General features: G+C 57.0%; 1 protein-coding gene across 9 annotated transcripts in view, besides 5 other annotated features; it reads left to right on the forward strand.

Moving 5' to 3' along the window:
- The window catches only part of SS18L1 (SS18L1 subunit of BAF chromatin remodeling complex), a 38,746-nt gene that overhangs the window by 265 nt on the left and 25,198 nt on the right, over positions 1 to 13,283 (forward strand). For 2 of the 9 annotated variants that reach the window (XR_007067449.1, XM_047440083.1), the window contains exons 2-3: positions 6,646 to 10,142; positions 10,248 to 10,432. The exons of 3 other annotated variants lie outside the window; for them this stretch is intronic. Coding sequence is in view for 2 of the 6 variants with exons in the window: in XM_047440083.1 (XP_047296039.1) it covers positions 10,430 to 10,432 (3 nt within the window). In the remaining 4 variants the exon portion in view is untranslated. Of the gene's footprint in view, positions 1 to 538; positions 609 to 6,645; positions 10,143 to 10,247; positions 10,433 to 13,283 lie in introns of those variants that run through there. 4 more of the 9 variants (NR_125980.3, NM_001301778.2, XM_047440084.1 and 1 more) reach the window with 3 other exon arrangements.
- Positions 73 to 132: a silencer, noted in NCBI's record as "silent region_13100". NCBI's record gives its function as "represses an Ori minimal core promoter by ATAC-STARR-seq in GM12878 lymphoblastoid cells {active_cell/tissue: GM12878}" and the evidence as "EXISTENCE:reporter gene assay evidence [ECO:0000049][PMID:35858748]".
- Positions 163 to 212: a silencer, noted in NCBI's record as "silent region_13101". NCBI's record gives its function as "represses an Ori minimal core promoter by ATAC-STARR-seq in GM12878 lymphoblastoid cells {active_cell/tissue: GM12878}" and the evidence as "EXISTENCE:reporter gene assay evidence [ECO:0000049][PMID:35858748]".
- Positions 5,460 to 5,754: an enhancer, noted in NCBI's record as "tiled region #1753; HepG2 Activating non-DNase unmatched - State 1:Tss, and K562 Activating non-DNase unmatched - State 14:Gen5'". NCBI's record gives its function as "activates a minimal TATA promoter and a strong SV40 promoter by Sharpr-MPRA in HepG2 and K562 cells {active_cell/tissue: HepG2 | K562}" and the evidence as "EXISTENCE:reporter gene assay evidence [ECO:0000049][PMID:27701403]".
- Positions 5,460 to 6,421: a biological region, named in NCBI's record as "Sharpr-MPRA regulatory region 1753".
- Positions 5,684 to 6,421: an enhancer, noted in NCBI's record as "H3K27ac-H3K4me1 hESC enhancer chr20:60724773-60725510 (GRCh37/hg19 assembly coordinates)". NCBI's record gives its function as "activates a minimal SCP1, AML or CMV promoter by ChIP-STARR-seq in primed H9 embryonic stem cells {active_cell/tissue: H9 hESC(primed)}" and the evidence as "EXISTENCE:reporter gene assay evidence [ECO:0000049][PMID:30033119]".

Below are 13,283 nucleotides of genomic sequence, written 5' to 3' on the forward strand. Positions count from 1 at the left end.
GCCCTTCCCCGCGTCCCACGCCTGCGCGCCGGCGGGCACCCGGCCGTGTGGGGGGCGGTCCCCGGAGAGCCTGCGCCAACTTTGTTGGGGCGCGCGGGTCCCTCGGGCCGGGGCACTGGGCGGTGGGGGCCGGGCGGACGCTGGAGGCTGCCGGCCCCCGAGCGCGCTGTCCCCCGAGTCCGCGGCGCGCGCTGGGAACTGTCCTGGGCTATGCCGGGCGCACGGGGACCCCTCGGGGCCGGAGCCGCGGCGAGGGCTTGTCGCGCTCCGCAGCCAGCTTCGGTGGCGACGGCGGGCGGTACTCGTTTTCTGCGCTCATTTTGGTTAGTGGTGAGGGGCCCGGGTCGGCCTCCGGGCGCACTTGCGACCGCGGGGACTGTGGCCGGGGCTGCCCCTCTTGCTCCTGGAGCGAGGCGCGAACGATGGAGGCACGGAAGGACGCGTCCCGATCCCCATTTGCGGGGCATCGTTACGCAGCCCGGCCCCGTAGGGAGCGCACCGCCCCCTCCGTATCCTCGCGGCTACGCCGGGTTTCAGCGTGACACCCTCGCCAGCCGCCTCGCCTAACAAACTTGACGGATTTGCTCCACAACCTTTCTTCTAGCTCCGTAAGTTCGGCCTTGTGGTTTTCAAGAGACAGCGTTTATGTGGGTTTGGGACACCGTTATCCAAAGCCCTAAGTTTTGAAATTGAGACTTTGTATTTTCTGCTGTTTTTTCTGTAGAAGACAGATTCGGAAGAAAATCAGCATTAGCCATACCCGTTTCAGTTGTCACAACATCTGTTGGAATGACATTGGTTTTTTTTCCTAAACTCTGACTCCGTCTTCACCCTGGTGGGATTGCAGGGATAAACAGTGGTATTCCTAGGTTCCCAGGAGCCGCTTGTCTCCCTAAGGGGGTTCACCTTGACCTTGACTGAGGCTGTTATTCCTTGATGACGTGCCAGTCTCCTGTGGAAGTTGTCCTAAATCTATCGCCTATTTTGAGACTACCTTTGCTGTTGCTAGTTTTAGAAATTTGATGGTCTTAACAAATGAGAACCTTGGCCAACTCTGAACAGGAGAGATTGAGAATAGCAGAAATACAGATTTACAAGTGTGGCATTTTAATTTACTTAGTAAACACTTATGTGGCGCTTACCGTATCCCAGACACTGTTCTAGGGGTTTTATAAATCTTGATTCATCCAATTCTTCATAGAAGCTACTGGCATCCCGTTTAATAGCTAAAGAGGCTGCGGCCTAGGGAGGCCGTGCCTTGCTGGTAAGTGGACACTGAGGCCTAGGGGGGCTAAATGCCTTGCTGGTAAGTGGCACAGCCAGGTGTCGATCCCATACGGTGGCTCCAGGGTCTGCTCTGTTGGTGCCCCTTGATCTGGGAACATTTGGCCAGGCGGAGGTCAAGCTCTAGGCTCAGAGGCAAATGTTGGAACCCAGAGCATCTCCTGGCACTCTGGTTTTTTGGAGCTTAACAGTCATTGTTCCTGAAGCTACCTTTGGCTGCAACGTTTATCCCATTATTTGCACTTCGCACACAGTTCCATTGAAGCTCCCCAAATTCTCCAGGTAAAAGTGTGTATTGAGGTGCTGCCCCGAACATCAGATCAGAAAGGAAGAAATGCACCTGTGGACCGTGGGTCCCTGGGCAGAAACTCAGCCTGCTGACCATTGGAAATAGGCCTTCAGTTTAGGCTGCTGACTTGGCTTGGTAGGGCCAGCAGTCTGCGTATTGGGCTTGGTGTTTTGACGGTGAATATATGTACCCAGGGATCTTTTACTGGGAGGTGTGAGAAGGCTGAGAAAGGTGTGAGAGGTGTATGTTCTATGCCTCAGACGTGTGCTGTGTCCACAGTGTGTGCTGGTAGTGTCATGCCGAGAGCTTTAAGAGAAGCCAGGGACCCCTCTGAAGCCTGCGTGGTAGTGAAGGAGAAGGAAGTCTACAACTTGTCCTTACAGCATTCTGCGTGGTAGCGAAGGAGAAAGAGGTCTACAACTTGTCCTTACAGCATTCTGCGTGGTAGTGAAGGAGAAGGAGGTCTACAACTTGTCCTTACAGCATTCTGCTTGGTAGTGAAGGAGAAAGAGGTCTACACCTTGTCCTTACAGCATTCTGTGTGGGTGGAGATCTTCCAGGCCAACTTCTACTCAACCTTCAAAGCCTCACTCACGTGTTCCGCGTCTCATGCTCCGTCGGCAGTCATGTGGCCCTTGTAGCACTTGCTTGAGCTCCTGAGTTTGGCATGTGACTGATTATTCTTTGCTGATCCCCAGCCTCTCATAGTGTCTGAGCACAGTTAGTGCTGAGCACGTGCTGGATCATCTGTGACGCTGGTCCCATCAGTGGAAGCGTTTTGAGATAAGCAGATGCGTTCGTGTCCTGTGACTTCCTTGACACATTCCCACAACCCAGGTGGCTTCAAACAACAGAAATCTATTCCCTCACAGTTCTGGAGACCAGAAGTCCCAAGTCCAGGGGTCAGTTACCTGCTCTTCTCCTGGCTTCTGATGACTGCGGGCAGCCCTTGGTGTTCTCTGGCTTGTAGGTGCATCCAGCGTGTCTCTGCTTTGATCATTTTTTTTTTTTTTTTTTTTTGAGATGGAGTTTCGCTCTTGTTGCCCAGGCTAGAGTGCAGTGGCGCGATCTCGGGCTCACAACCTCCGCGCCCCCGCCCACGTTCAAGGTTCAAGCGATTCTCCTGCCTCAGCCTCCTGAGTAGCTGGGATTATAGGCGCGTGCCACCACGCCCGGCTAATTTTGTATTTTTAGTAGAGACGGAGTTTCTCTGTGTTGGCCAGGCTGGTCTTGAACTCCCGACCCCAAGTGATCTGCCCCCTCCCCCCCTTAGCCTCCCAAAGTGCTGGGATTACAGGCATGAGCCACCATGCCTGGCCTCAATTTCCCACTTTTTATAAGGACTCTAGTCACTGGTTTTAGGGCCTACCTTAATCCAGCATGACCCCGTCTTTATTTCATTTTCAAATACCTCATTTCCAGTACCTCCCATGCGCAGGCACCAGGGGTCTGGGTACAGTTTAGCCCACGAGAGTGCGTTTGTGGTGAGGGCTATCCCAGAGAAAGAGAACCATGGGGCAGGGGCAGGGAGTCACAGAGGGTCCCGAGCCTGGCCTGCATGGAGCAGGTATTGGGGGACCTAAAGTGGAAGGGCAGGGGGTGCTGGGCTGATGTGGGGAGGGTAGCTGGTGGTGACCAGGCAGCAGTGTGTGGGTGAGACAGTCAGAACTGCTCTGTGGCAAGCACCACAGAGGACATGACTGTGCTGGGGAACCCTGCGGTGGGGCTGGGCCATGTCCCCACGGTGGCCCTGGGCCTGGCTGGGTGTTCTCTAGCCACCAGCTGGGGACTGTAGTGTTCTGTTGTCCAGTGCGTGCTCCTTACGCTGCTGTTGGGGCTGGGCCTGCAGTGGTCACCTCGGACCATGTGGCCAGGCTTGAAGGGGACCCCTGAGTTGCCTCTTTGCTGCTTGGCATGCAGTAATTGCTCAATAAATGTGTTACTGTTTCTGTTTGTATTGGTTTTCTCATTGGTTTCCTTGGCCGGATAATAGCAGTGGTGTCTGCCTGTCTGCTGGGTGTCTGGATCCCCAGCACCTGTTGCGGGGCAGGGTTGGGGAAAGGCTCTGAGGGAATGGGATGGAGCTGAGAGGAGGTGGGCCCCTGGGGCCGCCTGCTGGGTGGGTTTGGTGTGGGAAGACAAGACCTTCGTGGGGTGGGTTAGTGCCGTGCCCAGGGTCCGAGAGCCAGGGAGTTGTTGAAGCTGGACCAGCCCTACCCCATGTCCTTGGTACCCAGGTGCGGGGGTGGGGCATGGGCAAGGGGCGCACTTCTGGGTGGGGATGGGCTGCGGAGGATGGGGTGCACACCCAGTAGGCAGTGGGCACCCTGTGTGCTCCCTCAGAAGTGGAACTTGCTGTCTGAAGGAACGCAAGCTAATTTGGCTAGGAGTGTTTGTAAGGTTAAAGCTGTCCAGTGACTGAATGGCTTGGGGATGCCGAGCCTCCCTTGCATGTGGCTGATTGACAGCGTTCCTCCTGCGATCAGAGGCTCCCCCCACCCGAGAAGGGGAGCATGGGGGCCTGTCTTTACATCCGCAGGGATAGGGGGGTTGGGTCCCCTCATTCCGGAGCCTGGGCTCAGCCCCGGGGAGGGACCCCGCAGCCACCGGCCTTGCTCGGCCTCCTTGCTGTCTTAGGTCAGGTGAGGGAGGCTCGGCCTCCTTGCTGTCTTAGGTCAGGTGAGGGAGGCTTGGCCTCCTTGCTGTCTTAGGTGAGGGAGGCTTGGCCTCCTTGCTCTCTTCGGTCAGGTGAGGGAGGCTCGGCCTCCTTGCTGTCTTAGGTCAGGTGAGGGAGGCTCGGCCTCCTTGCTGTCTTAGGTCAGGTGAGGGAGGCTTGGCCTCCTTGCTGTCTTAGGTGAGGGAGGCTTGGCCTCCTTGCTCTCTTCGGTCAGGTGAGGGAGGCTCGGCCTCCTTGCTGTCTTCGGTCAGGTGAGGGAGGCTCGGCCTCCTTGCTGTCTTAGGTGAGGGAGGCTCAGCCTCCTTGCTGTCTTCGGTCAGGTGAGGGAGGCTCGGCCTCCTTGCTGTCTTAGGTCAGGTGAGGGAGGCGCTCTGCAAGGCCCTTGAACCCAAGCGCCACGGGGGAGGTGGGCAGGAGAAAGGCATTGTCCTGGAGGGAGCAGCCACAGCCTGGCCTCTGTCCCCCCTCTGCCTGTAAAGCCTGGCCATACACCCTCTTGCTGGATGCTCCTGAAGCTGCTCTCCCAACTCCTACCCAGCCTGGAGGGTGAGGACGCATTTGGATAAAGACACTGTGCCTGCCCACTGCCCTTTACCCGTGACCTTTCCAAGGCTGGTGGGTCTCCAGAGTCCCTGTCTGCCATCCAGTCGCCGGGTGTGGAGTCTGGAGCCAGCAGCCAAAGGCAGCCCAGGTCTTGCCCAGGTGGTGCTCGCTAGCCGGCGGTCCTGCGGGTGCTCTCCTCGAGGCTCCGGCCCTTTGCGCGGTCTGGGCCCTGGGCCAGTGGGTCGGGGCCTGGGCACCTGCCTCTGTGTGCTTGGAGTCAGAAGACAGATTCCCTGGAATCCCCGGGCTGCAGGTGGTGGCAGTGTCACGCCCGTCCCCAGTGGATGCAGGAATAAACAGGCCCTGGGTGCCGAGCAGTTAGCGGGCTGGCGCTGATGGACCGTAAGGCCTGTGGGGCCTGGGAGGCCTGGGAAGAGGGAGTGCAGGTCTTCCCGCCTGGTTCGGGCAGGCACCTCCACCACCTCCCTCCATGTGATCACAAGAGGAGTCCAAAGGGTTGGGAGAAGGTGCCATGGATGATGGTAGGAAGGGGGCTCCTGTGACACTGGTCTGATTCTAATCGGCCACCACAGCTGCTGTGCACAATGGGGACGGAAATGGGCTGTTTATATCCTCCTCAAATGGGAAATAGGTGTGGAATGCAGGCAGGTCCTTGGTGTTACCAGGATGGGGATGGGGGCCATGGAGCTGCAGGAGGGCAGGGTGGGGCAGGCCGGGCCTCCTGGGCTCACATTCTTATCCTGCTGATGGTGATGTGTGCTTCGCCTTTCTGTGCCCCAGTTTCCTTGTCTTTACGAAGAGGACAGGGCTGTGGCCTCCCTCATAGCCTGTATGGGTAAGGCAATGCCCAGCAGCCTTGTAATTGGTCAGCTTTAGCCTTTGATCAGGCACTCAACGAGCAAGGAATGGCCGGAATTTATCCGTGGTATTCGGAAAGGGAGGTGAGGACTCCATTCCAAACTGCAGGAAACCATCGCAAGTCCAGGGTCATGTCAGAAAGAAAAAGCAGTGTCAGCACATGGATGAGATGCATACAGACGTCGCGTGTTGCTAGTACAATAAGCACGTCTCCAGCTTGGAAACTGTCAGGAGCACAGTGATTTTGTTGTGTTGTGCTGTGCTGTGACAGCCCAAAGCGCCATGAGACTGGAAGTGATTGCCAAGGCACATGCAGAGGCGGCTGCTCTTGTGTCTGTTCAGCGTGTCTTCACATGTTCTTAGAGTCTTTGAAATTGCACACACACGTCAAGCATACAGCGGTGGGGCCGTGAGGCAGCAGCCAGCTCCTCTCAAGGAGACTGCACATGTGTAAATTGAGACGCTCTTCTGAAACCTACACACCGACTTCACGGATTCCACAGTTGGGTGAATGTTCAGAGGGGTCCCACTGGCTTCCATCAGTGGAGTCTGTAGTATCGGCTTGCTGACCTCGGGGGCAGGGACGGAGCAGCTCAGGCTGGGCTCAGAGGGAAGGACTGCTGATGGGTCAGCGATGTCTGCCCCGAGAACAGGAGTGGCAGGCGCTAGCGCAGGTGCCATCGCTGGCTTAGCCACCTGCTGATGCTCGACCAGCTCTCCGGTTAGCCAGGCTGGTCCCCCTCACACCTTGATGACTCCTAGGAATTGATTCTGCGTCTGTGTCCACGCCATGCGTGGGGAGTGCATGGCAGCCCTGCATGTAGTGGCAGAAGACGGGGAACAATTTCAATGTCTGTCCAAGCAGACAGAGTACTACGTTGTGTCCATGTTGTGGAATTCTCCGGAGCATAAGAAACATTGAGGTGGATTTTTTTTTTTTTTTTTTTTTTTTTTTTTTTTTTTTTGGAGACAGAGTCTTGCTCTTTCGCCCAGGCTGAGGTGCAGTAACGTGATCACAGCTCGTGCAGCCTTGTCCTCCTGGGCTCAAGGGACAGGTGAGGTCTCTATGTGCTGACAGAGGACAGTCTCCAAGATGTTTGAGAGGAAAGGGAGCTGTGTGGAGCAGCGGGAGCGAAACGTTATCAGGTGTGTGCAGAGTCGGGAGGGGAGTGCACAGGCTCCATGCCAGACGCTTCCAGAATCGGCAGAGCTGGCCTCTGGGGAAGAGGAGCCAGGGGTTCCTCCTGCAAAATTAAAAAGGTTCCAAAAGTCTTTGTAATTAGAAAGGACAACCATGAGGACACTGGAGGTCTTCCTGCCCAGTGTGGGCTGAGCCAGCCCCGGCAGTGAGCCTCAGAGCCCCAGGCCTCCTCTGTCTGGCTTCCAGGGCCCCACACAGGTTGTCATTGGGGAGAGACTGTTCTGCTGAGAGCCCCTCACCCAGGTTTTTGCCTGGTAGCCCCAGCCCTTCCCCTACTCTCTGTGGGCTCTGGGACCCCAGTTCTCCGTCCCTGGTTCTCATCCTCACTCCCTCGCCTACCCAGTTAGGACCCCACGGTGGGGCTTCAGCAGCCCCAGACCCCATCCTTGGTGCCTGGCTGTGCCCTGGGCCCTCCAAGCCAAGCCCCGTGTCCCCCGTCAGTCCCCGCTTGCCAAATCCAGTTTCTCTGCTCACCCACATGGTCCATTGCCATGGCCGTGGCTTCCGTGCCCCTTGGGTTTGTCTCCCTGTGGGTGCTGGGCTTGGCCCTGGGCATCAGCCAGCCTGACCAACAGAGACACGTTGGGGCCACCCCTCAGAGCCTGAGACCACAGGGGTGACCACGCAGAGAGGGAGTGGGAGGCCCAGGTGTCCCAGCTGCCCCAGCCACGAGCCCAGCCAAGCCCAGCAGAAGATCCTCCGAACCAGCCCAGAATCATGAGAACTAAGAAATCATGTTTCAACCACGCGGCTCCGGGAGGTTTGTTGCGCATTGGGTAATGGATGCACCCAGCCGCGTTGGGATCTTGGTCCAGCCAGTCTCTGCAGTGAGCACAGGCTTTGGTTGAGAAAGTCACCCCCACAATGGGCACAGGACTCCTGTCCCCCAGCAGCCCCCGTTCCCCTCTTTTCCCGCTCCCCATAGCTGGCCTCCCCCGTTCCCCTCTTTTCCCGCTCCCCAGAGCTGGCCTTCCCCGTTCCCCTCTTTTCCCGATCCCCAGAGCTGGCCTCCCCCGTTCTCCTCTTTTCCCTCTCCCCAGAGCTGGCCTCCCCCGTTCCCCTCTTTTCCCGGTCCCCAGGGCTGGCCTCCCCCGTTCCCCTCTTTTCCCGCTCCCCAGAGCTGGCCTCCATTCCTGGAGATGCCCCGTGGCCTTCACACATGCCTGTTTCCTCCATCGGGCCGCCCTTCCCCCACCTTACCCATGTGCTCCTGCCCAGCCTCCAGCCCAGCTGGACGTCAACCCCAGGAGTCTCCTGGGGCTCCGCTGCCTCATGGCATTGAGCAGATGCATGCCCACGTCGGTCTTCACCCGACTGGCCACCCACGCCCACTCCACCATGAGCAGAGCGGGTCGCACCTCCTCACTGTCGCCTCCACTCACCCAGGCCTAGGATGGGCACATTGATGAAGCATGCTCAGAGATGGGATCTCACCACCCCTCCTTGCTGCGGCCCCCGATGCCAGCCTCTGGCTCCTCCAGATGGAGTTGCCACCTCATCTCTGTCCCCAGCGCCCTCACCTCGGGAGGCCTCAGGCCACCAGCTTCAGTGCTTTCCCGGTGGCGTCTCTGGCGCGGGTTTACCCCTGAACCTGTAGAAACTCGGCCTCTTAGGAAAGGGTGGGGAGAACTGTATCTCACGTTGCAGAAAAATTCACAAGTGCACATCAGGAAGCTGGGAAACAGTGTCTGCAGAAGACAGCAGTAAATACAGAAGATCTAGAACGCTCCAGGCCGCGTGAATGGCTTCTTTGTTCAGCTTAGTGTTAGAGGTACACACCAGGTGGAGGAGACTCAGGTGGGCCCATCACCAGCCCTGGCAACCCCAGACTCACTTCAGGCCTCTTTAAGGTCGCTTTGCAGATGATACCGTGAGTAAATGCTTGTCTTAGAGATTTTCATAAACACAGACACATAAGAAACTACGAATCGACAACCTCCAGAGTGGGGGCCACAGCTGCCTGTCGGTGCATTTCCGTCCTGTCAGGGTCTTTTGCTTTGGATTTTATGCTCACCAAAGCCGCGCGTGCACATCAGGAGTCAAGAAGCACCATGGGCGTGTGTGTTAGTTGTTCTTACACTGCTATGAAGAAATATCTGAGATGGGGTAATTTATAAAGGAAAGAGGCTTAATTAACTCACAGTTCCACAGGGCTGGGGAGGCCTCAGGAAACTTAGAATCATGGCGGAAGGGGAAGCAAGGCACCTTCTTCACAAGGCGGCAGGAAGGAGAAGCGCAAGCAGGGGAGATGCCAGGTGCTTGTAAAACCAACAGATCTCATGCAGACTCACTCACCATCACAAGAACTGCATGGGGGAGACAGCTCCCATCCATCTAATTTCTTCCCACTGGGTTCCTCCCACGACACGTGGGGCTTATGGGAACTACAATTGAAGATGAGATTTGGGTGGGGACACAGACAGACCCTATCAGGGCATGAGTAACCTCAGGAGTAATGCCTCCCACCTCCCAGAGGCGCTGTCTTGCCCTTCTCAAGGCCAAACCAAGTGGCCACTTTGGAATGGGTTTAGGGCTGCTGACCTTACCTGGTGACCAGGGAGAACAGGTCACCCGATAAGGTCTGCCCTCCCCGCTGCACACCTGCGCTCCCCACTCATACCCGTCAGAGTGGCTTTCTCGGGGGTTGGATCTGCCTCTGCTGTTGACGTGGTGATGATAAACACCTTGCTCACTGCTGAACCACGCAGGACCGTGTGACTGCTTTTCCTGCCTGGCTTTTGTTTTCCCTGGAGTTGTTGATTGTTTTTCTTTTCAATCACTTGTCACTAGTGTATCTCCTCCTTTGCTCAGGTATTCTTCCGGGTTTCAGTCTCGGGGCTGCTCTCCGTGGGTCTCCCACCATTGGCCGAATTCCTTTGGCTTCTCTTGGGTTGGGTCTTGGGTCTTCTCCTGGGATTTGCTCCCTTGGTTTGGGGAGGGAGGCGCATCATTTTATGGCCTCCTGAGAACAGGTGTTTGGGATGTGTCCCTTTAAACAGAATTCCCACGCTCCCTTCACTCGACTGCTGGCATGTTAACGCCACCTCACTTGCTGTCCCCTCCCCTCTTCTGTCCTGTGGACACGTGTTATTCTTGCCCTGACAATTTGAGAATGAGTTGTAGACTTGGTGCCCCTTTACTCCCAAATGCTTGAACGTGACTTTGCTGCCAACGAGGACATGACGCCGTACAAAGATTGAAACGGGGGAGCTGACATGGCAGCAGCACAGCCGTCTGCTCCAACTCACTGTGACTTCCCAGTTGTCCCGGTAATGGCTTTTGTAGGACATCATTAAGGATTACTGGAAGGACCCTGGGACCATGTCTGTTGAGAACCACTTGTTCATCTTCCTTGTCTTTGATGACTCTGACAGTTTTTGAAGAATGCCGGCCAGTCATCGAGTGCCCTTGGTTTGGGTACAAGGTGCGTTTTCCTAACTTGCGGGTCTGAAAGTGCGTCCATTCCCCCTTCACGCCTGGTTGCGGTTTCGGCGGACTAGAATTTCTACGCAGAAGTCTCCCTCAGGATCAGACCGTAGCCCTTCCGGAAACCTCCATGGTGAGTTCATCTCTCCTCCAGAGCCTCCCTCAGGCCAGGCCATCGGCCCCCCAGAGGTCTCCGTTGGGACTGGGTCATCACACCTCAGGGGGTGTCCCTTGGTATGGGACACAGCTCCTCCGGAAGTCTCCGTGAGGTCGTTGCACCCTGCGGGCCCATGTAGGAGGCTCCGTGCTGTCGGAATCCACTGTCCTTCACGTGGAACCTGGTTTTTCTCTCCTGTCATGTTTAGGATCTTTCTTTGTCCCTGGTCTTTTTTGGCAAACTGGTCACCTGGGGGCCCTTCCAATGGGGAAATGCGTCCTTCAGCTCTGAGAAAATGATTGAAGGATTTGGGGGTGATTTCTTCACTGCTCCTGTCTCTGGGGCTCCTGGAGGGCCGCGCTGGCCCACTCCCTTTCTTCGTGATCTTTCTGTTTTCACCTCGGTCGATCCGTCCTGCTTTCCAGGACTCCTCCTCAACTTCATATCCCGCCCCTCTGTTGAATTGTGTTCTGACTAACAGGTTTTCACCTCCAGAGCTCTTCTGCCCCCTCTGTTGTTTCTAACTGGCATCATCTTCTTTTCTGGGGCTCCAGTAACCTGCATCACTGCACCGGCTGACTTTGTGAGGATATTAATAATAGGTTTTGTTGGATTTTTTTAAAAAGTTTCAGGCCGGGTGCAATGGCTCATGCCTGTAATGAGCACTTGGGGAGGCAGAGGCGGGCAGATCAGTTGAACCTAGGAGATCGAGACCAGCCTGGGCAACACAGGGAGACCCTGTCTCTACCAACAACAACAACAAAAAAAACCCATTTAGCCAGGCATGGTGGCACACACCTGTAGTCTCAGCTACTCGGGCGGTTGAGGTAGGAGGATCACTTGAGCCTGGGAGGTGGAGGTTGCAGTAAGCCAAGATCACGCCACTGCACTCCAGCCTGGGTGACAGAGCGAGACCCTGTCTCAGAAGAAAAGCAAATAGAAAAAGTCTCCGTCTTGCATAACCTTCATCTTTGGATTTTGGCCTCTGTGGCTGGTTTTGGCCTTTGTCTTTCAAATGGCAGGTGGGGGCCGCACCGCTGTGGCTTCTGCGGATTGGAGGCCGGGGCACTGCCTGCTATGCTCAGGCAGGCGTGTGGCCTGTGGTTCACTCTGAGGTGCTCTTTCCCTTCAGTGCCCAAGCATCTTTCCTCCAGGCTGGTCACTTTCCTGGAGACGCCCCCTCCTCCAACCCCATCTCCTGCCAGCAGATCCTGGGCGACCCTGAAAGGTGCCAGAATTTTAACATTCCTGAGCCTTGTGGGGCTTCGCAGCACAGTGTGGCTCAGGCCAGGTGCCCTGGGGGCACTGATTCAGTTGTTACTCATCCATGTGCTTTTCAGCTTCCAAACTCCCGCTGCTGCCATCTTGTGCCCTCCCCATTCTGTCCTTAGAAGGCCACACCTGTTCCATCCTTAGTCGCCGGCCGGGGCCTGGGGTTTGGGGTGTCCAGTCTTCCACCTTTCATTCTGCCTGTCCTGCCCTTTTTCAAGTGGGTATGTGTCTAACATACATGAGAAAGTTCTCTGTATCCAGTTTTCTAAACACCCACACCAGTACTGTGTTTCGTCGTGCTTCGTCGTGCGTACATAAACCTCGCGGCACTGCCCTGGCCAGTGCACACCCGCGGGGCTCTGCCTAATGAAGTCAGTGGCTTGCGCCCCCCGGCCCATCCCGGCCCCGTGCTGGGAGTGATGCTGAAATGCCCGCCGTGTCTAGTTCGTGTCCCTGGAGACAATCTCTGCCTGGGGGTTAGGAGTCAAGGAGGGGAAGCCCTTTAGAAGGAAAGGAAGAAAGCCCATAGTTGTCCCTTCCTGCAGTTCATCTGAAGGCAGAGCCATCTGGAATGCTGGCGCCTGGCAGGTGGACTCTCCCTCACCTGCCCACTGGTAAGCCTGGCCCACAGTGTCCCCTGGCGGCCCCCCACCCCCATCTCAGGATGGCTCCTCGGCCCCATTGGGCTCAGCTGAGTGCAGGGCACCTTGTCCCCAGCAGGGAGAAAAGTGGTAAAGAGTGGAAAGGGGGAAGGTATAACTTTAAGAAAAAATAGAGCAGGAGAAACCAACCCTGAAGTCGTGGAGACCGGCGGAGGAGGAAGCTGAGTTGAGGGCAGTCACTCAGCTGGGGCTGTGGGTCCGGGCTCTGCCCTGTGAGCTGGCCTGGCTTGGCTCTCTCCACCCTGGGCTCCCTCTGCCTGTGGATGAGTTTGGGCCCCAAGGTCAAATCGCAGTTAGAGGGGCCACGTTGCAGGGTGGAGGCACAGCTGGGTGGCCCCAAGGCCCCAGGCAGGCAGGTGGGCTCCTCCTCCCCTTGCCCTGGGGCTCCCCTGCTCCAGGGCCTGTAGAGCTCCTGTCGGGAGCGGCCTCCTAGGGCTGAGTGACCCAGCACGCTGTAGTGGAGCCAAAAGGCACTGCTTTTTCCTTGGGTGCCAGCCTCTGAGAAAAGGCCTTTTTATGAAAAGCAGCAGGCGTGGTGGGCTCAGTTCTGTGCCTCCCTGCAGACAGAGGCAGCTGGTCACAGGGCGGGTGTCGCCTCTTCTCAGTCCCCTCCCATACCCCCTCTCTCCTCTCTCGCCTCCCGTTGGGTCTCCGCGGGCCACCCAGTGCTGCCCCCAGGTGGACACCTTGAAAGAGCCGGCTCTCCTGTGCCTGCTCCCCACGGCCTGTGGGCGTCCTGTGTGGTGTCTGCAGGATGCCGCCTGGCCCCAGCCCCTGTTCCTCTGCTGCCACCCACCCCTCCCCACTTCTACCAACCACCAGACTCAGCACGTCCTGACTACGTGCAGGTGTGTGGACGCAAGGCCTTGGGCCGCTTGATTTGGGGAGTGCTC

Source organism: Homo sapiens, chromosome 20 (assembly GCF_000001405.40).
Source record: "Homo sapiens chromosome 20, GRCh38.p14 Primary Assembly".
Classification (NCBI taxonomy): domain Eukaryota; kingdom Metazoa; phylum Chordata; class Mammalia; order Primates; family Hominidae; genus Homo; species Homo sapiens.